We start from the raw sequence: 26,933 nt of genomic DNA on the forward strand, positions 1-26,933 counted from the left end.
AGGGGTGAGCCCCAGAGCCCTAAAAGCCTGGCTCTGGGTTGGGCCCAATACTGTTGGCCTGGTGGTGCCTGGGATTGGGGTGGGAGGGGTGGGAGGTGGGCTTCAGGAACCACCCCCCCAGCACCCCTTCGCACCCCGCCCCCCACGCCACCCTGCACCCTCTCACGCTGCGGGCCCCTCCCAGGCCCTTCATAGGCATATGGGGCTGGGCCAAGCGGCTCTGCTGGGGGAGGGAGGCTGGGGCTCAGATCAGCTGAAATCAAAGCCACAGCTCCCTCCCCGCCACGCCGCACCCCTGCCGAGCGCCGCGCACCTTCTCCTTTGTCACAATGTTTTTCAATCCGGTGAAGCAAACTGTCCAATTAGAGCCAGGGTCTCCGGCTTCCATCTTTGCCGACGTTTAATTAACATGCTCCTCTTGGCAGCTGCTGACAAGTTCCAGAAACAGGTTGTAAAGGGTTTTTGTCTTTACCCAGCATGGAAAATGAGGGGTGTTACATCGCGGGTACATGAATAGGTTGCATTTCAGATCCCTCCTTCCCCTCCCCCCTGCACTGGTAAGAGGCATGCAGCGGTGTGTGTGTGTGTGTGTGTGTGTGTGTGTGTGTGTGTGTGTGTGTGTGTGTGTGAATTGCAAGGGGGCGGGGAGGGCGGAGTTGGAAGCTGAGAGACCTCCTCCCTTTTCCCTCACCCCTTCTTCCCAGGAGCCTTTGCTCCACAAAAGATCCGGATTCCAAGTCTTATTCTCCAACTGGCACACTTCTGCCTCACATCTCTTCTAGCCAGTAGCAGACTTCACCGTGTTAATTCCTACCCATGGGTCTGTGCCCATGCTGTTTCTTTGCCATCCTTCTGGTAAACTCCTATTCAGCCTCCAGAACCCTGCTCAGGTGGCCCTGCTTTGAGAAGCCAACTGGGTACAGACTTCCTGTCCAGCCACACCTGTCAGAGTTCAGCATGGATTCTGAGGGTCAGGTCTGTCTCCCAGCTAGACTGTGAGCCCCTGAGGGCAGGAAGGTGTATTACTCTGCCCAGGGTGGTGGTGAGCCTGGGAGATCTACCCTCCTGAAACCTTACCCCACTGTCCAGGGAAAAGAAGGCTGGCTTGGCAGAGAGAAAGAAGGGAAGGGATGGGGAGGAGGAGATGGGCCCAAAGGAGCCCTCCCTCCCTTCTCGCAGTCCTGCTGGAGTGCCCAGAGCAGGACCACATGGAGGGCACAACAGAGATGCCAGCTTTCTCAAGGGCTGAGTTTCTGGAGTAGCTGATGGAGGGGCCTTGAAGCAAGACCCCAGCCCAGAGCTGAGCCCTGCTGGGTGCCCCAGGCTGAAGGCAGGCTCTAGTACCCAAGTTCTGCCTGTTCAGCCTGCAATGACTTTCCTCGCAGTGTGGGTGGTACCCTTGGATGAAGGTAAGGGCTGGGGCAGAAGCAGGTCTCTTGGGTCCTTTTCTCCCTCAAACTGGCCCCATTGGAGCATTCACACCATTTTACAAAGGACAACAAGAATGTTTATTCCTGGAGGCTGCCACGCACACAACACAGAGAGGTCTGGGGGACCCAGGGAGCATAGGAGATGCTGGCCGAGGTGCAGGCACGGGGTAGAAGAGCCTCATAGGTGGTGACTGGCAGCTAAGTTGTCTCCTGGGAGAGCTCAGGTTCACCCACCAGGTCCCAGCCCCACTTTGAGCCTGTTTTTCTCCAATGTGGCCAAGACCCCAGGCAGAGGCAGAACTTCTGCAGCCAGAACCCGGCTTGGATGCCCACTTTGTAGCTTCTCCTTCTCCATTCTCAGTCAGACCCCCTGGGATGAAGGGGAGGGCAGGGGTGGAGGCACCTTGAGGCCAAGCCAGCAGGTGGGGGTGCTGCTTGCTCACTCTTGCATCCCTAGCTAGGTCAGCACCAGCTCCTCTGGGCCCCAGGACAGTCTGTGGAGCCTGCAGGGAGACAGCCAAGAGCAGCGGGTCACTGCCGGGTCCTGCTGTAGCCTCTCAGGCACCATTTTCTTTTCTGGATGGGGTGGACATTAAAGGCAACTGGGCATAGCCTCACCTTCCTCTTTCCTGGCACCCTAACATCCTCTCTTGCCACATCACTCAGGCCCCAGACCCAGCTATTGCCAAGCTCTGGCCTCCAAGGAAGTTAAATAACAATAATAAAAACAGTAACAATGACCAGCAAGGACCCCAGTTTCTCCACTTGCTAGTTGTGTGATCTTGAAGAACCTGAACTTCTCCGAGCCTTAGTTTGCTCATCTATTAAAATGAGGGCAGTAATTCTACTTGCCTTGTAGAGATCTTGGGAAGGTTAGATGTGAAAGCCATGAGCAAGGGCTTGGTGCATTCCACAGAGGAGGCACAGTGTTAGTTGACGGAAAGAAAGAGGGGAGGGTGGGTCTCATCTGAGCTGAGCAACTGAATACAACCAGACGTGTCAGCTTCATTTTTATAGATGAGGAAATCGAGGCCCAGTCTCTGGGGTGAAGAGATTCTCAAAGTCACACACCAGCAGGCACAGTCACAAAGCCAAGTGTGCCCCCAGGTCTCCTTCCATATTCCTTCCAGGCCCTTGTGCCTTCACCTGTTCCTGTGTCTGTCCTGGATGCACGTTGTCTGACTCTAAGAAGCTCCCCTGCCAACCCCATGTGCCCACTGCACCTCAGGCAGGAGGGGTGGAAGCCCTCATTTCTTGATGTTTGCTTTTTGCCTCTTTGCTAGTAACATCTGATTCTGAGAGCTGGGCCCCCACTGGGAGAACCTCCCTGTCATCCCCCAAGCCAAGCCCATGCTCACCTGCTCCTCACCTGCCCTGGGAGCCTAGGGTACCAAGGGTACCGAGGAAGCCATGGGTAGTGGGGACACCATGGGTACTGAGGGTACTGAGGGTCCTGAGGGCTTGAAGGTGGGGTCCTCAGGGATGTAGACAGTGCTGTTCCCTTCAGGCATCTACAGAGAGAGGATGCAACTCTGAGGGCCCTGTCCCAGTCCAGGCAAGGGTGTCCCTGGTGACTAGAACCTGGAGCTGCAAATGGTGTGTGGCGAGCGCCACCTTGTGATCGCCGTGCGGATCACATGCCACGGAGAGCAGGGTGGTCCTTCAACACAGGAGTCCTGCCCCTACCCTATATTAGGCACTGTCCTGGGTGCTGAGGCATGGCAAGGAGGAGACAGTGTCCTTGCCCCATGAGAGCAATGGTGAGGCATTGCAGTGAAATACCCAGTGACAGTAAGAGTTGCAAATGCACACAACAGGCTTATAACCCAGCCTGGGGGATGCTGAGAAGTTGTGCTGAACCCACTTTTAAAAGATGAATTGGAGTAAGGGGCAGAGGCGGTAAAAGGTAGTATGGCAAGCTCTGTAAACTGCAGACAGGTCCGAAAATGGGGTGGGGAAGGTGCAGGGAAGGCCAGAAGTGGGTAGAGAGGTGGAGGGCAGGCAGGGCAGGTCAGCCCTGCCCTTGCCCCATCTGTGGTCCTGGGGAACACTGGTCCAATCCCCATCCTCTGAGAAGCCACCTCACTCCCAAGGTAAACCACTCAGGGCCTCAGGGACTGCCTGATAGTGTTCCTTCCATTGGCACAGAATTTTGTTATTCCCAACCAGGTACAGCCAGCCCTCCATACCCATGGGTTTTGTATCAGCAGGTTACACCTATCACAGGTTGAAAATATTTAGAAAAAGCAACAACAAAAAATGACAATATAACAATAAAAATAATAAAAACAAAAAACAATACAGCATTTACATTGTGTTAGGTATTACAAGTAATCTACAGATTACTTAAAATATGTGGGAGGATACATGTAGGCTTTTATGCAAATACTATGCCATTTTATATCAGGGACTTGAGCATCCCCGCAAGAGATCCTGTAACCAATCCCCTGAGGTTACTGGGGGACGTCTGTACTGCTCAAGGTATATAGAGCTGAGAGGTGTGAACTTGGAATAAATTATAAAGATCAAAACAGAACCAAGAGGGAACTTCTACATGGGGGAACTGATAACATTTCTGATTTATTTCGTTAGCGTAAAATCTGTTGGTTTCTAATTGTGGTGTCTAAAATAGTTTAAGTTCTGACTTTCTTAAATATAGAATAGAAATAATTATCCTGTGAGAAAAGAAAGTTTATTAGGAATGTAATAACACAGAACAATTCTTATGATAGAGTGGTAAGGAGAAAGAGACGGATACTAAATTGGGTGAATAATACAATTTCAACCGTGTAAGAAAAATCTATGCAGAGAAAAAAGATAGAAAGGAAATATACCAGAAAATATTAATATTGCTTGACATAGGGTGACAGGATTTCTATTTTACTGTATTTCCAGATTTTCTTTAATGAGCGCCTAGTCATTTTTAATTAAAAACATTTTTAAAGAGTTAATTTAAGAGACATTCGTTATGTGCATGAAGTTACCTTATAGTAGATAGTAGTTAAAATTACCCTTAAAACTTCTGGTATGGTTTTAAAAATACAGAGCTAAGTGAAAGGCATTATGGGTGGCCCCTTGTCCCAGGAGCCACAGACACAGGCGGGTCCTCACCCTTGTCATGAGAGGACAGTGCAGGAGGCATGAGGGGAGTCCTGCCATCCTGCATCATCCAATGGCAGGTGGGCACCTCCAATCATGATTCATGGGGAGAGGCCAGCCTGAAGTCACAGAAAGCCCAGATTGTGGCATGTTTTTAAGGAAACTGAGTTCTGTGACATTCCACCACTTTCATATCTAGAACAATGTTCCTCAACTGCTGAAAGGGGTGGGATGCTGCAGAACTCAGTTGCCTGCCTGCTGCCTTCGTTCATTCCTTCCTGCCTGCCTTCCTTCCTGCCTGCCTTCCTTCCTGCCTTCCTTCCTTCCTGCCTGCCTTCCTTCCTTCCTGCCTGCCTTCCTTCCTGCCTGCCTTCCTTCCTGCCTGCCTTCCTTCCTGCCTGCCTGCCTTCCTTCCTGCCTGCCTTCCTTCCTGCCTGCCTTCCTTCCTTCCTGCCTGCCTTCCTTCCTGCCTGCCTGCCTTCCTGCCTTCCTGCCTTCATTCATTCCTGCCTGCCTGCCTTCATTCATTCCTGCCTGCCTGCCTTCCTTCCTTCCTGCCCGCCTTCCTTCCTTCCTGCCCGCCTTCCTTCCTGCCCGCCTTCCTTCCTTCCTGCCTGCCTTCCTGCCTTCCTGCCTGCCTGCCTTCATTCATTCCTGCCTGCCTGCCTTCATTCATTCCTGCCTGCCTTCCTTCATTCCTTCCTTCCTTCCTGCCTGCCTGCCTTCCTGCCTGCCTGCCTTCCTTCCTTCTTTCCTTCCTTCCTTCCTTTTTCCTTCTTTTCTTTCCTTCCTTTTTTTTCTTCCTTTTTGGTCTCACTCTGTCATCCAGGCTGGAGGGCAGTGGCGCAATCACAGCTCACTGCAACCTCTGCCCCCCCGCCCCAGGGTTCAAGTGATTCTCCTGCCTCAACCTCCTGAGTAGCTGGGATTATAGGCATGAGACACTGAGCCCGGCTAATTTTTTTTGTATTTTTAGTAGAGACAGGGTTTTGCCATGTTGGCTAGGCTGGTCTCGAACTCCTGACCTCAGGTGATCTGCCCGCCTCGGCCTCCCAAAGTGCTGGGATTATAGGCATGAGCCACTGCGCCCAGTCCAGAACTCAGTTTCTGTATTGGAATCACCTGGGAGCTTGTCAGTTGCAGAGTCCCGGTCCCTACTGAATCAGAACCTCTGGGGTGGTGCCTGGGAAGGTCTCCAGGTGGTTCTCATGGAGACTGAAGCTGAGCACTGCACTGTGATTCCTAACCCAGGCTGGGTGTTAGAATCCCCGAGGAAGCTTTAAAAAAATTCTAATGTCTAGACCCTACCCCAGAGCAGTTAAATCCAAGTCTCTGTGGGCTGGGGCCTGGGCTTTGGAATGCTGTCAAAGCTCCCTAGGTGATTCCAGTGTGCATCTTAGCGCGAAAACCGCTGCTCAAATACAGTGGTGCTTAGACTTGTTTGTCATCAGAACCACCTGGGGCTTGTTAAACCAGAGTGCTGGGCCCGCCCCCTTGTTTTGGAATCAGGATGTCTGAGGAACTTAAGACTTTGCATTTCTCTCTCTCTCTCTTGCTCTCGCTCTCTCTCTCTCTCTCTCATTCTCTTCTCCCTTCCCTCCCCTCCCCTCCGCTTCTCTCTCTCTCCCTGTCTCTCTCGGGATCTTGCTCTATTGCCCAGGCTGGAGTGCAGTGGCGCCATCATGGCTCACTTTAGCCTCCACCTCCTGGGCTCAAGCGATCCTCCTGCCTCAGCCTCCAGAGTAGCTGGCACTACAGACGCATTCCACCATGTCTGAATAAGTTTTCTATTATTTTTTGTAGAGACAGAGTCTCCCTATGTTGCCCAGGCTAGTCTCAAACCCCCAGGCTCAAGCTGTCCTCCTGCATCAGCCTTCCAGTGTGGGAATTACAGTTGTGAGCTACGGCACCCATGAGAATTTGCATTTCTAACCAGTCTGTAGGTGATGCTGATGGTGCCGGGCACCATACCATGGGGACCACTGCTCTAGAATAAAGCTGACTGAGTCTTTAGGGACAAGAGTAAACTCCAGCTGTAGCCCTGACTATAGGTTGCTTCTGTCACCCCCTCTAGGGTGTGCAGAAAGAGAGGTACACATCACCCACTCCAAGCCCTGGGGTCTAGAGGGAAGAGTCTTCAACCTCCATGAGACACAGCCTCCCCCGATGAAGAAGTAGGGTAATGTAGGCTCTGACCCCCACCCCCGGCATCTGGGTCCCCAGGCCCCAGCCCAGCTGATGCAGTGGAGGCAGGGAGGGAACGCAGCTGCCCTCCTTCAGGGGGCCAAGTCCCTGGAACTCACCTCCCAGTAGACCGCATCCTCAAAGCAGTTCTCATCTGAAGGTTGTCCCCAGAATGGTAATCTCAAAATGAGCCCTACAGAAAGTTGGAGATTACAGGATGTCAGGAAGTGCCTTCTCTCTGCTCACCCCAGCCATTTCCCTCAGCTGGGAAAATCCTCCTGGGGCCCTTGGGCTGAGTTCCAAATTGTCCCAGTCCTGTAGCCAGAAGTGCAGAGATCAGGGATTCCTGGGGGCTCAGGCTGACCTGTGCCGCATGCCCTTTGCTTCTCCACCCAGGGAGCCCCACAGCAGCACCCCCCTTCTCTGGCTCAGCCATTCCTGCTCACCCACAATGATGCCACCCATCAGGGCCATGGCCAGGGTCACCAAGAGACCATAAATCTGGAACTTTCCCTGTGTTCTTGCGGTCCAGTCCCCGTTGAAACCTTGAAAGTCAAAGGAATGGACAAGCCTGGGGTGGAGACAGGGGGCAGGTCAGGGCCCCATGGAGAGGCCAAGTAACAGCTTGCTGCCACCCCAAAAATGTGACCGGGTACCACGGGCCTCAGCCTTCCCACCCACAACATGGGGACACCGGACATATCAGTTGGCCTCTAAAACTCTAAGGGACAGAGTTTGGGGAGAGAGACCCATGAAACAATTGGTCCAGAGTGGGGAAGGAAAGGGAGAAAGATGCAGTCGGGTCCCAGAGGAATAGCAGGAAGAAGGGATGGGAGAAGGAAGGGGGAAGCTCCATCCCACCGCACCTCCTCCACATTTACCCTTCTTTTCCATAGACTTCAAGGCTGGCGGAGGCCGCTGTCACAGCACCCACGATGCCGCCTATGATGCCAGGAATGCCATGCAGATTGTTAATGCCACATGTGTCCTGGATGTGCAGCCGGGACTCCAGGAATGGCTGGAGACGGGAGGTGGGTGCTGCTCAGGCCGGGGGCTGCATCAAGGGTGTGGGGAGGCCGGGATTCCAGAGACCCAGGATTCTCTAGCCCTCAGCCCCCTCCCTAGGAACCCTCAGCTCACTGTCAGGAACACAAAGACCTCAGCATTCTCTAGCCCCCAGCCCCTTGCCTGGGGCACTTACGGTCAGGTATACAAAACCCAGGGTGGAGATGATGCCGCAGACGAAGCCGATGATGAGGGCACCGTAAGGCATGAGCATCATCTCAGCAGCGGTACCCACGGCCACCCCTCCTGCGAGCGTGGCATTCTGGATGTGCACCTGGGCAGGGCAGGCAGAGCAGGCAGGAACTCAGTCCTCTCCCTGGAGCACCGGGCCTGGAGGAGCTCACTTGCTGGCTGTGCAAGGGTGCAGCCTGGCTCCTGGGAGCCGGGGATGGCTGGGAGTTCACCTCAGCAAGCCAGGAGCCTGCAGAGGACTTCAGCCCCACCCAGGCTTGCTACAGCTGCTCCCTGTGCCTCTCTGCACATGCCACCCATCCCGCCTAGTAGGTCTGGGCATTTTCCATGTGCTGGTGCACTTGCTGGTGAGCCCTGACAACAAGCACACTGTTGTTTTATGTATACCATGTATACCTGTGTGCCCAGACTAGCATGTCTGAACGTTCTTGCCATGGATGCAAGTCCACGTCAAGTGCCTATGGGGTCTAGACATAGGCACGCACCAGCTGCTGCTGTCTGAATGCTAACCTGTACCAGGTACCGTGCTGCTGGCTGTAGGGGTTAGCGCTTTCCATCTCTACAACAAGTCTGCAAGGTGAGGACAGTTATCTTGCAACATTTGCAGATGGCGAAACTGAGGTGAGGGGGGTTAAATGACTTGTCCAAGACCACAGAGCTAGCAAGAGGCAGAAAGGTGTCTTGATCCAGGTTGTGTGGCCCCAGAGTCCCTGTCCTTGACCCTATTCCATGTCCCTTCCTGCAGGTGGGTGTGGATACACACAGGTGTGCCAGTCTGTGTGTCTGATTCTCTTCCCCAGGTGCCTGAATCCCCACCTCTCTGCATGGTGATAGTGTCCCCAAATAATCGATACTCCAGACAGTGTCTCAGCACACATATGCCCACGTCAAGACGCTTGTGTCAGATTATAAGATAGGTTCGGCGCAGTGGCTTACACCTGTAATCCTAGCACTTTGGGAGGCTGAGGTGGGTGGATCACCTGAGGTCAGGAATTTGAGACCAGCCTGACGAATATGGTGAAACCCCATCTCTACTAAAAATACAAAAATTAGCTAACTTAGCTGGGCGTGGTAGCCTGCACCTGCAGTCCCAGCTAGTTGGGAAACTGAGACAAGAGAATTGCTTAAACTTGGGATGCAGAGGTTGCAGTGAGCCGAGATAGCGCCACTGCACTCCAGCCTGGGTGACAGAGCGAGACTCCATCTCAAAAAAACAAAACAAAACAAAACAAAAAAAAACAAGATAAAGAATATCCTTGCTCTGGGTGCTGCTGAAAACTGGCCATGTGCTCAAAACAAATCATTTCTCCCCCAACCTCATCTGCAAGATGGGTGTGATGATCCCCTCAGAGGTGTTGGCAAGGCATGGTGATCAGCGCCCTCCAGGCCCAGGCAGTCAGAGCCACACCCCCAACGCCCTCATGCTCACCATGTCCAGCTTGCCCTTCTTGTGCAGGGCACTGGATATTGCCACCGAGGTAAGCACGCAGGCTGCCAAGGAGCAGTAGGTGTTGATGGCGGCTCGGTGCTGGCTGTCCCCATGGTAGGATATGGCTGAGTTGAAGCTGGGCCAGTACATCCACAGGAAGAGGGTGCCTGGTCAGACCAGACAGGCCCAATGGGCCCGGGAGGAGAGGCATTAGATACAGCCCCACAGCTCAGGCAGGCATCCTGTCCTTTAGCTCTAGAGATGACCCCACACCCAGCTGTTTCCACCTCTGCAGCTTTAGTCATGCAGGGGCTCTTCCTGGAAGGCCCTCCCTGCCTTCCTTACCCCCCACTTAGCCTTCCACACCACTCCAGGAAGTCTACCCTGACCCCCATTTCTGGGCTAAATGCCCCCACCCTGTTCCCACAGCGCCAGGAGGGAGAATCTTTTCTCTACTGTAGGGAGATCCTCCACATGGCACTGCTTTCTCTTCCACTACGCTGTGAGGAGCTCCTGGAGGGCAGGGCTGGGTTTTGAGAGACCAGAATGGCTGTGGTCAGTGTCTTCTCTGGAATGAATGGACACAGGAAGTGGAAATGCACATCTTGCCCTAGCCCAGGGGATGGAGTGAGCAGCTCCTGGTTACCACTGTGTCTGCCTTGGGGCATTCTAGGGGAAATACAGGATGAGTGACCAACTTCTTTCAGCTTCATGGGGAAGGGGGACAGACATATGGGATTCTAGAAGTATCTATAGGCAAACTCTGTTTGCCCTTCCCCCAAAAAGAACTGGCAGCCATGCACCATACCACGTGGGGATCAGGTCTGATCATGGTGGCCTTCACCCATCATGGTGGCCTTCACCCATCATGGCTGCCTTCACCCATCATGGCCACCTTCACCCATCATGGTGGCCCTCGGTCATGATGGCAGTTCTCACCAATCATGGCAAAGAGGTCCGACTGGTACACAGAATTCTGTCTCTCCTTGCTCTGCTCTAGGTTGCGTCGGTAGAGGATCCGGGTCACTGTGAGCCCAAAGTAGGCGCCAAATGTGTGGATGGTCATGGAGCCTCCTGCATCCTTCACCTGGGGTGCAAGGGGCCTGTCAGACTCTGGCACCTTCTCTCCCTCCCTCCTCATTGCCGTCCCTGTCTTGCCACACACACACACGCCCAGAGCTCCAGCCTTCTCGGACTCTTCAGGGTGCAGGATGGAGCCTGGGGCCTTCACGGACCAATCAACTGGTAATGGGGAGAAGGTAGGGATTCCCATCAGCAAAATGCCAGGGTGTCCTCACCCAGCAGATTTGGTTGTTCCCAGATGGGGAAACCCAGGCCTGGAGACAGACTTGCTCATACTGCTGGAGGAGGTAAGGCAGAGGCAGAACTGAGGGAAACAACCTACCTGCTTTGTCACCCACTGGTTTCCACCTCTGTGCCTCTCATTTGACAAGCTCTGCATTTACACCACCTGCTAGTGCCTTAGCAGGGCTGTTGTCAGGATTCATGCAGGCAACTTGCCCCTGGCGAGGGCCTGGCACTTAACAGGTGCCAGATTGATGTTTGTCCCCCTCACACTCACCTCTCCTTCTCTTTTACCTCCTCCTTCCTCCCCACCTAGAACCAATTTCAGATGAATAGAATCACAGACTCACTCCTTCACTTTAGATGGGGGAAACCCAGCCAGAGAGGTAAGTGTGTCATCCAAGGTCATAGAACTGGTTGTTGACAGGGCTGGGATTCTCGACTCCCAGCCTAGCAGATGCCTCTACTAGCTGTGTGACCTTAGGTGAGCCCCTTAACCCCTCTGAGCCTCAGCTTTCTCATCTATAAAACAGGGGTAAGCCAGGCACAGTGGTGGCTCATGCCTGTAATCCCAGCACTTTGGGAGGCCAAGGCAGGCGGATCACCTGAGGTCAGGAGTTCAAGACCAGCCTGGCTAACATGGCGAAACCCCGTTTCTATTTAAAATGCAAAAATTAGCTGAGCATGGTGGTGTGCACCTGTAATTCCAGGTACTTGGGAGGCCGAGGCATGAGAATCGCTTGAACCCGGGAGGCAGAGGTTGCAGTGAGCTGAGATCATGCCACTGCACTCCAGCCTGGGCAACAGAGTGAGACTCCATCTCAGAAAAAAAAAAAAAGAGGGGATACGCATACTGAGATTCAGTAATGCAAAGGACTGAGAGATGACCCTTGGAGGCAAAGGGAACAGCAATTGCAAAGGCCTTGATGTGGGACCCAGCTTTGTGCCTGAAGAGCAGACAGCACAGTATGACAAAGCACAGGAAGATGGGGAGAGAGTAGACAATAAGATGGGGAGAGAGTAGACAACATGTGGAGAGAAAAGTTGGCGCCAGAACAGGAAGTGCCTTATAACAAGTTTGGATTTTCTCCTGAATGAAATGTTAAAACTGCTGATAGATTTTCAGTGGGTGAATGGTCTTCTATGCACTATTTATTTATTTGTTTTTTTTTGTTTGTTTGTTTGTTTTTTTGAGATGGAGTTTTGCTCTTGTTGCCCAGGCTGGAGTGCAATGGCGTGATCTCGGCTCACCACAACCTGTGCCTCCTGGGTTCAAGCGATTCTCCTGCCTCAGCCTCCAGAGTAGCTGGGATTACAGGCATGCGCCACTACACCCAGCTAATTTTTGTATTTTAAGGAGAGACAGGGTTTCGCCATGTTGGCCAGGCTGGTCTCGAACTCCTGACTTCAGGTGATCTGCCTGCCTCGGCCTCCCAAAGTGCTGGAATTACAGGCGTGAGCCACCGTGCTTGGCCTAAGTTTGTATTTTTAGTAGAGACGGGGTTTCTCCATGTTGGTCAGGCTGGTCTCGAACCCCTGACCTCAGGTGATCCGCCTGTCTCAGCCTCTCAAAGTGCTGGGATTACAGGCATGAGCCACAGTGCCTGGCCTCTTCTCTATGCATTATTTATAGGGCACTCTGGCTGCTGAAGATGACTTTCCTTAGGGGCAAGGAAGGCAAGAATGCAGCCGGGGAGATGAGTCAGGAGGAAGAGATATGGTAGCTTGGACTAATCTGGTAGCTGAAAAAAATTACAAAATGAATGACTGAATTTAGGGTGACCTAAATCACTCCCTGCCAAGGAGGGGGAGTTCCAGACAGAGTCCAAACGTAGAAGAGGAGGGTGCTAAGAAAAGGGTGCAGTTTCTACGTGAGATCCCCTACTGTCCAAAGGCACCAAGGAGGCTTCTGAGATAGAGTCAGAGGTCTAAGGTGCCTCTTATCTGAGCCACTGAATTGACCTCCCCGAGGGAGCAGCACTCCTGTCATGGCCCATGTGAATGGCAGCTCTGGTGCTGTGTCGTACACACCATGGCCACCTTGGCCATTCACCTGGGATCCTGTCCTACAGATTTGCCCCTTCAATACACCGGATTCCTTTTCTTGGCAGAGGAATCTGGAAATGTGGTATGTGTGCAAGAGTATGTGCAGGGATATCCTATTCATTCCATGTGATGTGTGGGAAAGAAAGGAGGGGGAAAAAAACAACATTCAAGGAAGCCCTGCTCTGTCCACGTGCTGGATTGATGGGCTAGGTGGACTGTAGTACCTGCCTGGTAGATATTATTACTCCCACTTTAGAGATGAGAAAACTGAGTGACGTTCAGGAAGTTAAGTGACTCGCCAGGCTGGCATGTCTCCCCAGCTGTCTATTTCTCCATACCCTGCTGTCCCCCAAAGCACCCCCACCACCTCATCCCCATTCTGAGCCCTGCTCACCTTTAGCAGGTTAAGGAGAATGAACTCATTCACAGCGAAGAGGGTCACTTGGAAGAAAGTCATGATGAGCAGCTGAATGGGGCTGACTTTACCCAGAACTGCCCCAAAGGCCACGCAGACAGAGGCCACGCAGAAGTCAGCGTTGATGAGGCTGTGGGGAGACAGGCCAGTGGAGAAGCTGGGGCAATAGCAAAAAGTGGCACTGGAGGCCCTGGACTTTGGTCATATATGGATTTGGGCTTGTGGCTTAACCTTTCTGAGCTTCAGTTTCATCATCTACACTAATGGGCACCTAACATTTAGAGCTACTCCAAGAATGAAAAGAAACCACACGAGACAGGACTAGTACAGCAGCACACACCAGATGCCCACCTCCCATGCAGCCCATCTCAGGCCCCCGCTGCTTGCAGACAGCTTGGGCTCAGGGCACCATGTGGTCTGGTTGCTATTGTTGAACATGCCCCATATTTGGGGTCCTTCCCTGCCCTGTAGCTTCTACCTGCTTTTCCAGAACCTCCTTTTACTGCCTCCTCTTTCAGGAAGTCTTCCTGTTTCCTCCAACCAGATGCAGTTTCTGCCTCCAGATCCTTATCTCTCACTCTGCACACACCTCTTCTGCTGGTAACCAGGGCCTTGTTATTGGGATCTTTCCTTTACCTTACCCATGAAGAGGATCTATGTCCAGGGAAGAGACAGGGGGGCCTTCCTGCAGGAAGGAGGGAGCTGGGGTGGTACTGGATGGAAGGAGGGAGCAGGAAGGCCAGCAGGGAGGATGGAGGCAAAGGGGCAGGTACATAGGTCCTGCTCAAGCCTGGACCCTGAACACCCTGCCAGCCCAGCAGAGGGCTGATGAAGAGGCAGACAGCTGAGTGGACATTGTGTAGACCCTGATTCCATCCATGTGCCCACTTTGCCCAAGCCTGGCCTCCTTGTCCCCTGCCAGCAGCAAAGCTGCCCTCTGGATTCCAAGGCAAGACCCTCAGTGTGGCTCTTAGGCCGGGAGAGTTGTTGATGGGGTGGGTGGGGGGTCTGTCACATCTAGAAAGGACTCCCTTCCCCTTCCATGCTCAGGGCTGTGTGTATGAGAGAGAGAATGGGGTGAGGAGTGAGAATGAAACTAATTGTAGGGCCAGTTCACTGGACTGTCCACTCCACTATTGCCTCATTCACCGCTGTGTCCCCAGGGCCTAGTGCAGGGCCTGGCTAAATGATCGATGGCAGTTCCTAAGTGCTAGGCTCTGGGGTATCTACTAAGTACTGTATATGCCCTCCTGTGCCATCCCTGAGCCATACAAGACAGGCACTGTCATTAGCCACATCATTTAGATGAGACATGGAGAATTAGAGAGGCTAAGTTTTTTGCCCAAGATCCCATAACTGCAGCTGGAAGATTCATCTTGATAGAAGTGACCATTAGAAAGGAGAGAGAGAGAGGCCGGCCATGGTGGCTCACACCTGTAATCCCAGCACTTTGGGAGGCCGAGGCAGGTGGATCACGAGGTCAGCAGTTCAAGACCATCCTGGCCAACATGGTGAAACCCCATCTCTACTAAAAATACAAAAATTAGCTGGGCTTGGTGGCAGACACCTGTAATCCTAGCTACTCAGGAGGCTGAGGCATGAGAATCACTTGTACCCAGGAAGTGGAGGTTGCAGCGAGCCAAGATCGCACCACTGCATTCCAGCCTGGGTGATAGAGCAAAACTCAGTCTCAAAAAAAAAAAAAAAAAAAATGGAGAGAGAGAACAGAAAGGCCCATCCCTTGGGCTATCAGCATTTGGGAGATGGAGATCCAGATGCCACATCTCAGGAGGGCCGAGGAAGCTTGGGCAGGGCCTGAAGAGGGGCACTTTCTACAGTGACAGGTGGGACTTAGAAGACTCTTCAGCAGGGACAGGCCAGAAGCCAGGGGGAGGGTCCACATCTCTGGATCCACAAGGTCAGGTCTGGGGACAATATGCTCATCCCAGCCCCGGGCACCAGAAATCAGCTCCAAGTCAGGTGCTGAAAAATCAATCTCCTGAGAGCCAATTTGTCCAAACTCAGTTTTTCAAGTGACCAACTTGCTGAACAACTGCTTCACCAAAAGCCTGTTAACTCACGGTTTGTAATAATTCCCTTTGAATTTTTTTGAGATTAAAAAAAATTCATTTAGCCATAGCTATTTTGCTGTGGTGGCCAATGATATATATTACAGGTGTTTTTATACTTTGGATCTATGGTTTTGGGAATGATAATTTCTTGTGCATTTTGAACTTCGGGGTGATATGCATGTCAAGGGTCTTATAAACAAAAAGACTTGTTTACTGGTTCCAACACATATCCAGTCAACTATCTTTCCTGTTTCTCTTAATTCATGGATTAATTATCTGGTTTGGATGAAGTAACTTTTTGCAAATATTTGACATGTGTCCTAGATTTCAGACACCTGGCTATCATACCTCGTTGGTATCCTAAGAGTAACAGCAGGGATTTGCCCTTTAAAGGTGGTTTATACCAGTTTGCCTCTAAGCCCTTTCTGTGGACAGTTTATGAGTGAGCTAATGAATGTTCATTTTCACACACCAATGATTACTTTTCTCAAATTAATTTTTTTTCTTGAAGGATGGGAGAATGGAGGAAAACATTTTTTTTTCTTTAGCTGACCTTTTCATATGTCTACAGAAATAAAAGTCTGTCTAAACTGGACTTAAAGAAGAACCTCCAATAAACTAAAACTTGGCTAAAGCAGGAAAAATCTCCCAAAGGTTCTTGAGTAGGACCAGAGCAACACAAATTGCTATAGGTTTCATAAGTTGCCATGGGATAGAGAGTTTGATAAATGAGTCATTCAGTGAGCTGACCACTTTCTCCATTGATTTTTTTGGCAAGTTGGCTTTGGGTGAATTTATTTTATAACCTGTTGGTGGTGTTGTGGGTTGGGGAGGTGTGTTGAGGCTTGGAGGAGGTCACTGCAGAACAGAGGGAGGGGCTGAGTCACCTGACAAGAAGGGGCTGGTGGTGCTCATCAGGCCAAGTCATCATAGAGAAGTCATGAGAAGGATGGAGCTGAGAAGTGACAGTAGGGTGCTCCACCCGTGGAAGCTGAGGAGGGGGCAGGGCTTCAGCCCTAACACTCCACACCCACACCTGTCTCACAGCTGTTTCCAGCACCTGTTCCCTGGGGTGGGTGGGGGCGGTGAAGCAAGGCAGGGAGAGAGGTACCTCCATTTGGCTGGAGTCCCCATTCGGTGTTTCCTTCACAAGGAGCCTCTGAGGCTGGTGCAGACATCCCAGTTCTCCCACCAGAGTCCCGTGGGCTGCGGTCTCTCAGGACACAGGGCTGGGCGATTTTGATGTGCCGGGCCCGGTCGGACCCTGCCCCCAGAGGAAAGTCTAGCCTCAAGTCCCTGCAGCCTTTGTCGTAGGGGAAGGGAGACCCTCCTATGTATGACACTTGGACGACTCCCACCCTGGAGAATCGCTGATCAGGAAGCGAAGTGAGAGAGAGAGAGAGACAGAGAGAGAGAGAGAGAGAGAGAGAGAGAGAGAGAGTGTGTGTGTGTGTGTGTGTGTGTGTGTGTGTGTGTGTGTGTGTATCTGTCTCGCAAGCCCAGTGTGGCCCAAAGGAGGAGTTGCCCTCCAGCCTCAAGCCCGGGTCCCGCCGATGGGCACGCCCTCCTCCCTCAGGCTCACCTGCCCAGCCCCATCCCTCCCAGTCCGCCACGCCCCCGGGGCCCGCCCTGCGCTCACTTCTCCACGCCCACGACGATGTAGCGGTCTTGTAAGAAGTGGAACCAGCCCTGCATGAGCAGCGCCCACTGGATGCCGAAGGCTGCCAACAGGAAGTTGAAGCCCACGGCGCTGAAGCCGTAGCGCTGCAGGAAAGTCATGAGGAAGCCGAAGCCCACGAAGACCATCACGTGCACGTCCTGGAAGCCTGCGGGGACAGTGCAGCCCGGGACTCGGTGGTCTGGCGAAGGTTCGTCCCAGCCCTGGGTCTGGGCCAGGAAGGCCGGGGTAGCCCCTCAGTCTTCCCCGCCACTGGCGCGTCTCCCTGCTCCACCATCCTAACCCGGTTCCCCCACCCCCACCCCCACATCTGAACCCTGGGGCTGGGCAAGGTAACGCTGCGGGCAGAGCCTCCAGTTCCTTCATAAGGGCCTCTCTAGAAAGGGAGGCGCTGGGGGGGACCCGAGGTGGGCCCCCACCTTAGCCTATTTAAACCACTGGGCTGTAGTGCCAAGAGATTCCCAAACACCCTCCTTGAGAGATGGCAGCTCCTTGGTTCTACCCTCCTCCCTGGGTGGCTCTGCTGGCCCAGGCTGGAGGTGGCAGCTGGGCATCAGAATTTGGGGCCAGGTGTGGGTTACACACAGGGTCTAAGGTCGATAGCCCAGACCGTCTGAGGCTATGATGCCCTGCCCTCTCCACCGCAATCCTGTTCCTTTGCTGTGGAGAATCAATGCTCATCCGGCCAAGGAGTAGCCTGGACAGGCCAAGCACATCAGTTATAGCTGATCACATCCCCATATCCCACCACTGACTCCAGCAGATACACATCCCCGCATCCCTGAGACTTGAATTTGGACCCCGGTTACTCCATCTTCTGGGTGGATGACTCTGGGAAAGTTAAGTATTTTAACTCGGGGCTTGGCACCTGCTTCTGCAATGCTTACATCACAGATGTTGTGAGGATTAAACACACATGTGTATGTAAAGAAGCATCTAGCACAGTGTCTACCCCATAGTAGGTGATCTAAATGGGCAGATGTCATTGTTTATGTTCACTCAGGCATGGCCTAATTCTGAGTTCTGACCCAAGTCTTCTCCAACTCACAATGTGGCCTTGGCAAGCCACTTCCCTTCTCAGAGCCTCAGTTTTCTCAACGACCAAACTAAAGGGATGTATTAGGATGATCTTAACTGCCCTCTCAGCGCTTATGTTGCATGGTTCTCAACTCCAAGAAAATAACAGAAGACAAAGAGCTTTGAGAAGCAAAGAGAATTGCAAAAGCATAACACACAAATAGGAACCTCAGATGTCACAGGACACAGGGGCCAGATGGAAGGGCTCCCACTGGCCAAATCTGGGACAATCTGAGCACCAAAGCAATTATGTGTTATAATGAATTAAAACCATTAAAAAAGGAACTCATGAGATCATACTGATAATAAGTTGGTAAACAAATAAATGAGGTAGCAGATAGGGCTCTTGCCTACAGTAGAATGCTGAGGCTACACTTAAATATGGAAAAAGTGCTAGAGTTGGAAAATCATCATTTTCATGGTAAAGATTCAATCAGTGGATGCTAAATGCAGGGGGAAATTTTGAGTATGCACAGGACGTTTGCATTGTCTTAAAGGGTTTCCTTATAGACTGCTTATTAGTTGCAGGGGAAGAAAATAACAGTAATTATACTGGGCAACATATTGACTGGGTGATCAAAATTAATATCACTCATGCCTCCACATGTGATACCCTGAAAAGGACCTATCCCCTAGGTGGGATTCTAGCTGAGACTGCAGAACCCAATCTAATCATGAGAAAACATCAGACAAACACAAAATGAGGAACATGTTACTAACAAGGGGAAAGGCTGTATTCTTGAAAAGTATCAGTCATAAAAGACCTTTGAAATGTTCCAGATTAAAAGACATGACAAAAGGTATTAAAGTTAATACCTTACTCTAGACTGGATTCTGTATTTGGTGGGGCTGGGAGAATGGGGGGGGGGGAGTGCTATAATGGTCATTATTGGGTCCATTGAGAAAATCAGATATAAACAGATTAAGATATTATATTAATAAGATATAAACAGGTGAAGATATTGCATTAATGGAAATTTATGAAGCTGATTACTATGGTTATGGAAGAGAATATCCCCCTTCTTAGGAAATATACTGGAATAGTTAAGGGTAGAGGGCCATGACGTATGTGACTGACCCTCACATGGTTCAGAAAAACAAAGCACACATGTGTATGTGTGCATGTGTGTATGTGCGTGTGCATCCGTGTAGAGAAAGAGTGAGCAAATAGCTGAGTCTGAGTTAGAGTATATGGTGTTCTTTTATTGTTGTTGTTGTTGAGACATAGTCTCATTTTGTCGCCCTGGCTGGAGTGCAGTGGCACAATCTCAGCTCACTGAAACCTCTGCCTCCTGGGGTTCAAACGATCCTCCCACCTCAGCCTCTGCAGCAGCTGGGATTACAGGCATGTGCCACCACACCCAGCTAATTTTTTTTTTTTTAACTTTTAGTAGAGACAGGATTTTGCTATGTGGGCCAGGCTGGTCTCAAACTCCAGGCCTCAAGTGATCTGTCCATCTTGGGCTCCCAGAGTGCTGCGATTACAGATGTGAACCACTGCACCTGGCCAGAGTGTAGCTTTCTTTGTGCTATTTCTGTTTGAGCAACTTTTTGTAAATTTGGGATTATTTCCAAGTAAACAGTCAAAAGGAAAAGAGACTCCAGGGCCCTGACAGGCCTGTCCCAGCCCCGCCCACCTGTCTCCCGGGGGATTCCTACTCCCTCACCCACCTGCCTCCCAGGGGATCTCTACCTCCCCACATCTTCACCTCCCCCGGTGCTCCAGCTGCTCTGGCCTCCCTTCTGCTTCTCAGTCCCACACTCTAGGGTCTTTGCCTATGGTGTCCCTGCCACTTGGGATGCTGTTCCTGCAGAATGGCCAGCAGATCTCAGCAAATTGTCACCTCATTAGAGAGGCCTTCCTGACCACCCATTTAAGATAGGTTCTCCCCCTATGGCACCCTGTTTTCTTTCCTAGGTTCTCTCCCTTATGGCACCCTTTTTTCTTTCACGGTTCTTGTTATAATTTGAAGTTACACATTTGTTTGTCTATCCCACTACGCTATAAAACTCCAAGAAGGCAGAGCCATGCCTGTTTTGTTCACTGTGGTATTCCCAGCACCTAGGAGAGTGCCAAGGTCGACTCTCAGTTAATAGCTATGGATGAATGAATGATTGTTATTGTCTCAGAAGCACCCAGGTGTGCCAGCTGAGCAGTGGTCCAGGAGCTCAGGTGGGATTTCACAGGAAGGGCTGCAGCCCCCCTCCAGTCCGCCTCCCACCAGGAGGGCTGACAGGTTCTGGTGCCCACTGCAGCCTGGCCAAGGCTGCAGGAGCAATGCTTACGGCACAGCTGCCTGCACCTTGCCTGCCCTCATCTGTTTCCCTTCCAGGCTTCCCTGAGGCCCAGGCCAAGGCCACAGACCCCTCAGCTAGCAGCTACCTGGAGGAGGCTTAGGGGGCTTGGCACACTGAAGGGCAGGGGTACAAGCCAGTGTGGGAGAGCTGTGGGTCCTGCCCCAGGGTGGTGCTCTGAACTTCCCTCTGAATTTAGCATCGGTGCTGAGTTTACATGAACAAATACACCTCAGCTTAGGTTTCTCAATGTGCGCAAATGATTTCATGTATGATCGTGTTGCAGGGTTTATCACATTTCTAACTGTTGTGGAAGAAATTGAGCTGATGTATGTGAAGCACCATAAATGGTATTATGGTTATTCTGGGAAGAACTGATGGGTGACAGACTGGAAGAGAGGTGTGAAAGAGAGGGAGGTGACAAATTCAGATGACAATTCCAGAAGCGGGGAGGGGAGTTGGCAGGATGACAGGATGGCAGCGCTGTTGACAAACACAAGGCAGTGGGAAGAGGTTGCTGCGTGGGAGGGAGGTGCTGGGTCTGGCCTGGCCGTGGTGAATTTCAGATGACCAGGGGGGTGAGGGCTGGGCTGGTGGGCGGGGGTTAGGGGGAGAAATGGAGCCTGGCTGTGGGGGCTTGGAGCTGAGGTCTGAGATTGGCCAGGCCTGCAAATAGAGCTGTGAGTTGCAATGTGGGAATGAAGGGAGAGAGAGACACAAGCTGAGAACTGGCTGTGCCTTGAAGCTAGCAGAGAAGACGAAGGACACGCTGGCAGGGAGGTGGGAGGAGCCCCTGGGGGAAGACAGCATCACCGCAAGTGGGGTCCTTTCGATGAGAAGGGTGTCAGTTGCCTGGTGGTATAGAGGCGACATGCTGGCAGGGGCGAAGCTGAAGAGGACCAAGGGAGCCGCTGCTGCAGGGGAAGGTGTGTGTGGTTTCAGGGCTGCCTTGGCCTCTGTGTGGCCTGAGAGCAGGAGCAGGGAGCCCTCGCTTTCCTGGTCCATCCTCCCTGCCTGTCCCCTCTCACCCTGCTCTTCTCCCTGCTCTGGTGGGTGCCCTGTCTCTCCTTTTCACCCTGTCTGGGGGTGTCTCTTTTCTTCTCTTCCCTCCGTCAGGAACACAGACACCCACTTCCTTCTCCTTGGGCACCTCCCCAATTTGTCCTCTTGCTTCCCATCTCTTTATCTGTCAAACTGGTCTTAATTCAGCATCAAAATGTATCCATTTATTAATTTCTGTTTCATAAAGTATGATGCTACCTAAAATGATTTTTAGGCTGGGCGTGGTGGCTCATGACTGTAATCCCAGCACTTTGGGAGGCCAAGGCAGGTGGTTCACTTGAGGTCAGGAGTTCGAGACCAGCCTGGCCAACATGGGGAAACCCCATCTCTGCTAAAAATACAAAAATTAGCCGGGCAAGGTAGTGCACGCCTTTAATCCCAGCTACTCGAGAGGCAGAGGCAGGAGAATCACTTGAACCCGGGAGGCAGAGGTTGCAGTGAGCTGAGATTGTGCCATCGCACTCCAGCCTGGGCAACAGAGTGAGACTTCATCTCAAAAAAATAAAAATTAAAAAAAAAAAGATTTTTAATAGTGACGATTTGAGGGTCCAAACCGTATGGACCTTTAGCAAAGGACAGAACTTCTCAGATCTACAGGTTCTTTGTCAGTCAAATGGGAGATAGTAACAGCCCCTGGACAGTGCTCACTGCAGAGCTTTGTAGCACACATGTAATGGTATAACGCAATCAAAGCCCTATGCGAAGGCAGCTGGCTCTTTAGAAATTGCCCCATCATATAAGTTATTATTTCTCTTTTCCTCTTTCAAGACTGACAAGGTTGCATTGGGTTGGCAACTTGCTGAGGGTCAACAAAGTTGACCCTCAGTCTCCCTCCCCAGCTTTGGTGACTCCAGCTGTCCTGCCCAGAACTGGCTTCCTCAACCTGGAGGTCCCTGATGGGGCAGGGCTGGCACTCTGGCCTCCAGGGGGCACCAGTACCCAGCTGTTCTCCCTCTCCCCTTACTCCCAGCCCCCAGCCCCGTTCTAGCTCCTGCTGCTTCCCTCTGTAGACGAGTCCCCCACCAGGCTGGCTGAGTCTAGGGGAACAAAGTGTCCCACACTAATGGGCCTCTGCAGCCCTCCCCTCTGCTGCATCAGCACACGAAGGATGGTGCCCTCCAGGGGCTGGGTGCTGCCCCCCTCCCCCTCCCATTCGCAGCCCAGCCTAACTGTTTTCTTTGAGACCTACTGGCCAGTTCCCCAATTCCCCCAAGACTCCGTGCCCACCTCTTCCACATCAACACTGCAAAATCTCCTGGGGAGATGGTCAGGGGGCAGCAATGCCACAGAAGACCCTGGAAAGCAGGTAGGCCCTGGGGTGGGGGCTTGGCTCTGACCCTGCCTGTGCTACTGGCTGGCTGAGAGTGTCCAGCTCCTCTCGAACCTCCATTACCTCCATCATAAAATGGAAATTATAAATGCCCCACCTGACAGGGCAGGCAAAAAGCATTTTGTGATTGGGAAGTGCACAAAAGAATTTAAATGCTATAATAGTTCCAACTAATATAGGGAGAGGTGACTCCACCATGTTTCTAACAAGGTGCTGATACTTACACACCTTCATGGAAGGAGCACTTACTCCCTTCTGGGGAAGCCCAGTGGCAGCATTTACTGTCCTCTCCCTTTATGCCAGGAGATGAGTGCCCTACCAGTCACCTGTCATCTTGAGTCTTCTTAGAGATCCTGTACTTTAAATAACATTTCTACCTTAAGATGGGCATGCTGAGGCTCACTGTGGCGAGGTGGTTGGCTCCTCCATGCAGTGATGCACCCGAATGGGATCTGTTTAATTCTAAAGTTCCACTGCCTTCTGCCTGTGGGTAAGCTCGTCCTTTATCAAATGGAGCCTGCTTCGGCCTCATGACACAGTCCTCCCGGTGTTTGAAACCAGAGCTTCCTCCGCCCTGGGTCATCTCCCGAAATGTGTCCCACTCCTCCCTTGGTCTTCCAGGGAGCTTCTGGAGTCCAAGCCCTGGTGGCTCCTCCTTGGGCCAGCCTCCCTGAAGCCACTGCCCTCAGCGGTTCACCCAGACCCTGGAGCACCAGCCCACAGGGAAGCTGCGTGCTTAGCAACCACAGCCACTGGCTGCATCACGGGCCTCCGAGGGCACTGCCAACGTGAGTCCCCAGCTGGCTCCATGCCTGCTACCTGCTGCAGGGCCCATGCCTGGGGAGCTACCCTCGGGCCAAGCCAACTGGAGCTGGACTCCTCCGGAAACTGGAGATGCCCAGCAGGCTTCACTCATCCCCTGAGTAGAAACGAGGCCTGCACAGCTGCTGATGGCCTGGATCCAGGAACAGGGAAGGCACCTTGGAGCCTGCCCTCACCCCAATCCCCTAGGAATCACCTCGCTGCCCAGGAACCCAGGCTTGGGGACTCACATGGGCCAGGAAGCCTTGTGCCCTCTAACTCCTAACCACAGCCACGGTGAGTGGAGCGGGGGAAAGGGGGAAGGTTGAGACTAGGGAGGAGAGTGGGCCAGGAGTGTGGGCTCAGACCCCAGGGCTGCTCCTCTCGCTCCCTGGTTTCCCAGCTGAGTGACCTTTGCAAGACACTTCTCCGCTCTGGCCTTAGTTTCCTCATCTGTAGAATGGGGGTCATCACACCACCTCCCTCACAGGTGGTGGTGATGATTAAAGGAGAGAATGCACGTGCGGTTGGAGGGGTGGCCACTACTTCTTGCCAAGATTCTTCCCCTATACCCCTCTCCTCTGTTGCTTCCTGCTCCATTGGCCAAGAGCTCTCCAGGAGAACTAGCAGGGGAAACTCAAGGCCCTCCTTGATGCTGGGGCTCTCCCCCTGTTAGCATCCTTACCCCATCCCTTTCACAAACCCTACTCTTGGGCCACACAGAACCACTGCCCCTCCTCGCAACACCACCCCCTTTTAGTGGCCCCCTTGGCTGCTCGGCTTCTCCCCTCCTCACCATCCACCACTTCCCAGGAAGCCATCACAGATCACTTCTGCTCAGAGCACTTGGTCCCACTGAGGCCCTGGGTGCCACGGTGCCCCTCTCTGCTTCCAAAAAGTCTGGGGACAGAGACCCAGGATATTCAACTTATTTATCCAGAGTGACCATAGCCCTGATTTGCCAGGACAGTCATGGCTTATCCATGGGTCCCAGCAAATTACTACCAGCACCACCTTCACTCTCAGAGGTGTCCTCTGATGATGATAAATTGTATGATCACACTACAGATAAGCACTTGTTGCATGAACACATTAACCTGGGGTGTGAAAGGTGGGTGGGCAAGTGTGGTGCGAGGAGGATAAGAGCTGGGGAGATGTAAGGACTGTACCTCCCCACTGGTGAGGTTCTGCAGCTCCTATTATAGGGTCTCTCTCTCTCTCTCTCATTTCTTTCTTTTTTTTTTTTTTGAAAGGGAGAGAGATAGAGATTCACTCTGTCACCTAGGCTGGAGTGCAGTGGTGCTGTCATAGCTCACTGTAGCTTCAAACTCCCAAGCTCAAGCGATCCTCCCACCTCAGCCTCCCAAAGTATGCTGGGATTACAGGTGTGAGCCATCGCACCCAGCCTATTTAAGGTCTTGAGGTCCTCCACTCCCCAGACACATTGAGGACCTGTGAACGCCCATGGGAGTTCTTGCCCCTTATGCTCTGGGGTCAAGTGGGAAGCAAGTGCGGGAGGGAGGGAGAAGAACAGGTAAAGGAGGGTCTCAAGCTTGCCTGCCTCACTGTTTGCTGGAAAGTCCCCCCCTTGAGGAGAGGAAAGGTGGACAATGTGAACAGTGGATTTGGAGCCTGAATCCCAAGGCTGCAGCTGTCTAAGATATCTTTTAAAAAACAGCCCTAAATGGAGCCCAGGAGAAACTGTGGTCTCCCCAGCAGGGGGCGCACCCCTTATCTGTTACTTCCCTTCTAGGCACCAAGTAACTATTAAATGCAGCCCATGATAGCCCTAACTTTTTGGCAGCCACTTAATATGGCTGGCTCCCACCAAGCCTGCAGCCCCCCAAACGCAGTCTTTTTTCATGCAGGCTGCCATTCTGAAAGTGTGCAGTTGTTTTCTTGGAGATAGAGAATCCCCTGTTGCCGAGAATGTCTAAGGTGTGGAGGGAATACCAGTTGATATAGGCGGCTGCTGGAGAGGGGCTTTAGGGTCCCTTTCAAAGCTAACAGTCAATGACTACATGAACACCACCGGCTAGAATAATTTTCATTGGCTGATGGCGGATGGAGTGGAAAATCAGAAAGTACAAGGGCATTCTGATTTTGGGAAGAGCCCCAGGCTGGGAGTCCAGAGGTCGGGCAGCTCAGAGTGACCTTGGGCTAGCTCTCCCTGCTCCTGAGTCCTAGGGCACCTGTGTTTGGTGCTCTTGTAGCAATTGCTCCATTATGAAGAAAGGATCCCACCCCAACTCTGCCAGAGCTTTACATGCACTTCCTCGCCACAGCCTCACCCCAACCCCTGTGAAGGAGGTCCTACCATTATCTTCATTCTGTAGATGAGGAAATTGAGGTTTAGGAAGGTTGGCATTTGCCTGAGGCCAGCCACCTGGTTTGTGGCAAGAGCCACGAGAGCATGAGAGAAAGGGAGGTGTGTGATTGTAGGGTCATGCTCTTAACCACAGCACCGCTGACACCAGAAGATTCAGGGGCGCTTGTTTTCCCTCTCCAAGCTAAAAGGGGGTGGGTGTCCTGGCCTCCTGGCCCACCAGTGGTCCCACAACACCTCTGCCCACAGCAGGGCTGGCGCTTATTTGGAGTAAGCGCTCCTCTGGACAAGGGAGCCAGGTCATCCACTGGTTGGTAATGGGGCGAGAGGACTCGGATCTTCTTAGTATACCAAGCAGGGCTCTCTGACAGGGATGTTGGGGGGCTCTGACGGCTGGGAGGGCGGTCAAATAAAAACCTCATCCCGGTGTTTTCCCTACTAGTTTTTCACGGGGAAAAGGAGTTTGTGCACATCTGACAATTTCCCACGCATGCCCTGCAGAGGCCGGCGAGATGCGGAGTCCGCGGCTGCAGGGTAGATCCCCTCCTCTGCCCAGCTCTGGGCCGAGCCCTTGGCCAGGTGGGGACCGGCGCGGATATGCCTCCGCTGGGCCTGCAGGCGGCGAGACTTACTTGGGTAGCGATAGTAGAATTCGTTCTCCATGTCGCTCAAGTTCTTGTGCGTCCTCTCTGACCACCAGTGGGCGTCGGCCTCGAAGTCGTAGCGCACGAACACCCCGAAGAGAATCACCATAATCACCTGCAGGAGCAGGCAGGTGAGCGGCAGCCGCCAGCGGAGGTTGGTGTTCCAGGCCATGCTGCAGGGGTGCCTGGCCGGGCTGGCAGCGGGCGGTTCGGACGCTCGGAGGCCGGCGGGGCTTTTGAGACCCGGGCAGGGGGGCGGGGCGGCCACGTGGGGCACGGAGCAGCTGACTCGGGCACCGCCCGCGCGCTCGCCCAACTGGCAGGGGCCCAACCCAAGCCGAGGGCCCCAAAAGATTCCCCGCGTCGGGCTGGGGGACAGCGGCAGGAGCAGAGGCTAAGGCAGTGGGCAGGAGGATCAGGGTGCCCCAAATTCTGTGTGTCCCGTTGATACTGGGGCCTTTCTCCTTTTGTTCTGCTGAACAG

The 26,933-nt window shown here is 52.6% G+C and overlaps 1 protein-coding gene across 4 annotated transcripts, besides 3 other annotated features; it reads right to left on the minus strand.

The window, feature by feature from the left end:
* Window positions 1-1,484: 1,484 nt before the first annotated feature.
* Window positions 1,485-26,661, minus strand: RHCG (Rh family C glycoprotein). Of its 4 annotated transcripts, none has more exons than NR_110261.2 (11): window positions 26,439-26,661; window positions 16,877-17,063; window positions 13,145-13,295; window positions 10,339-10,486; window positions 9,400-9,566; window positions 7,915-8,052; window positions 7,595-7,655; window positions 7,160-7,284; window positions 6,833-6,906; window positions 2,800-2,941; window positions 1,485-1,933 (listed from the first exon to the last, which is right to left on the minus strand). NR_110261.2 is itself a non-coding variant. In NM_001321041.2 (11 exons), exons 1-10 carry the CDS (start codon window positions 26,620-26,622, stop codon window positions 2,813-2,815), a joined length of 1,440 nt encoding a protein of 479 aa, NP_001307970.1. In that variant the 5' UTR covers window positions 26,623-26,661; the 3' UTR covers window positions 1,485-1,933; window positions 2,800-2,812. The 4 variants fall into 4 exon arrangements, 3 of the variants coding, with proteins under 3 accessions (NP_001307970.1, NP_057405.1, XP_047288607.1); NM_001321041.2 differs by having other exon boundaries at window positions 7,595-7,731; NM_016321.3 differs by having other exon boundaries at window positions 2,789-2,941; window positions 7,595-7,731.
* Window positions 16,666-17,166: an enhancer, noted in NCBI's record as "H3K4me1 hESC enhancer chr15:90029819-90030319 (GRCh37/hg19 assembly coordinates)". NCBI's record gives its function as "activates a minimal SCP1, AML or CMV promoter by ChIP-STARR-seq in primed H9 embryonic stem cells {active_cell/tissue: H9 hESC(primed)}" and the evidence as "EXISTENCE:reporter gene assay evidence [ECO:0000049][PMID:30033119]".
* Window positions 16,791-16,850: a silencer, noted in NCBI's record as "silent region_6799". NCBI's record gives its function as "represses an Ori minimal core promoter by ATAC-STARR-seq in GM12878 lymphoblastoid cells {active_cell/tissue: GM12878}" and the evidence as "EXISTENCE:reporter gene assay evidence [ECO:0000049][PMID:35858748]".
* Window positions 21,952-22,457: an enhancer, noted in NCBI's record as "H3K4me1 hESC enhancer chr15:90035105-90035610 (GRCh37/hg19 assembly coordinates)". NCBI's record gives its function as "activates a minimal SCP1, AML or CMV promoter by ChIP-STARR-seq in naive H9 embryonic stem cells {active_cell/tissue: H9 hESC(naive)}" and the evidence as "EXISTENCE:reporter gene assay evidence [ECO:0000049][PMID:30033119]".
* Window positions 26,662-26,933: the final 272 nt, after the last annotated feature.

This window comes from Homo sapiens, chromosome 15 (assembly GCF_000001405.40).
Source record: "Homo sapiens chromosome 15, GRCh38.p14 Primary Assembly".
Classification (NCBI taxonomy): Eukaryota; Metazoa; Chordata; class Mammalia; order Primates; family Hominidae; genus Homo; species Homo sapiens.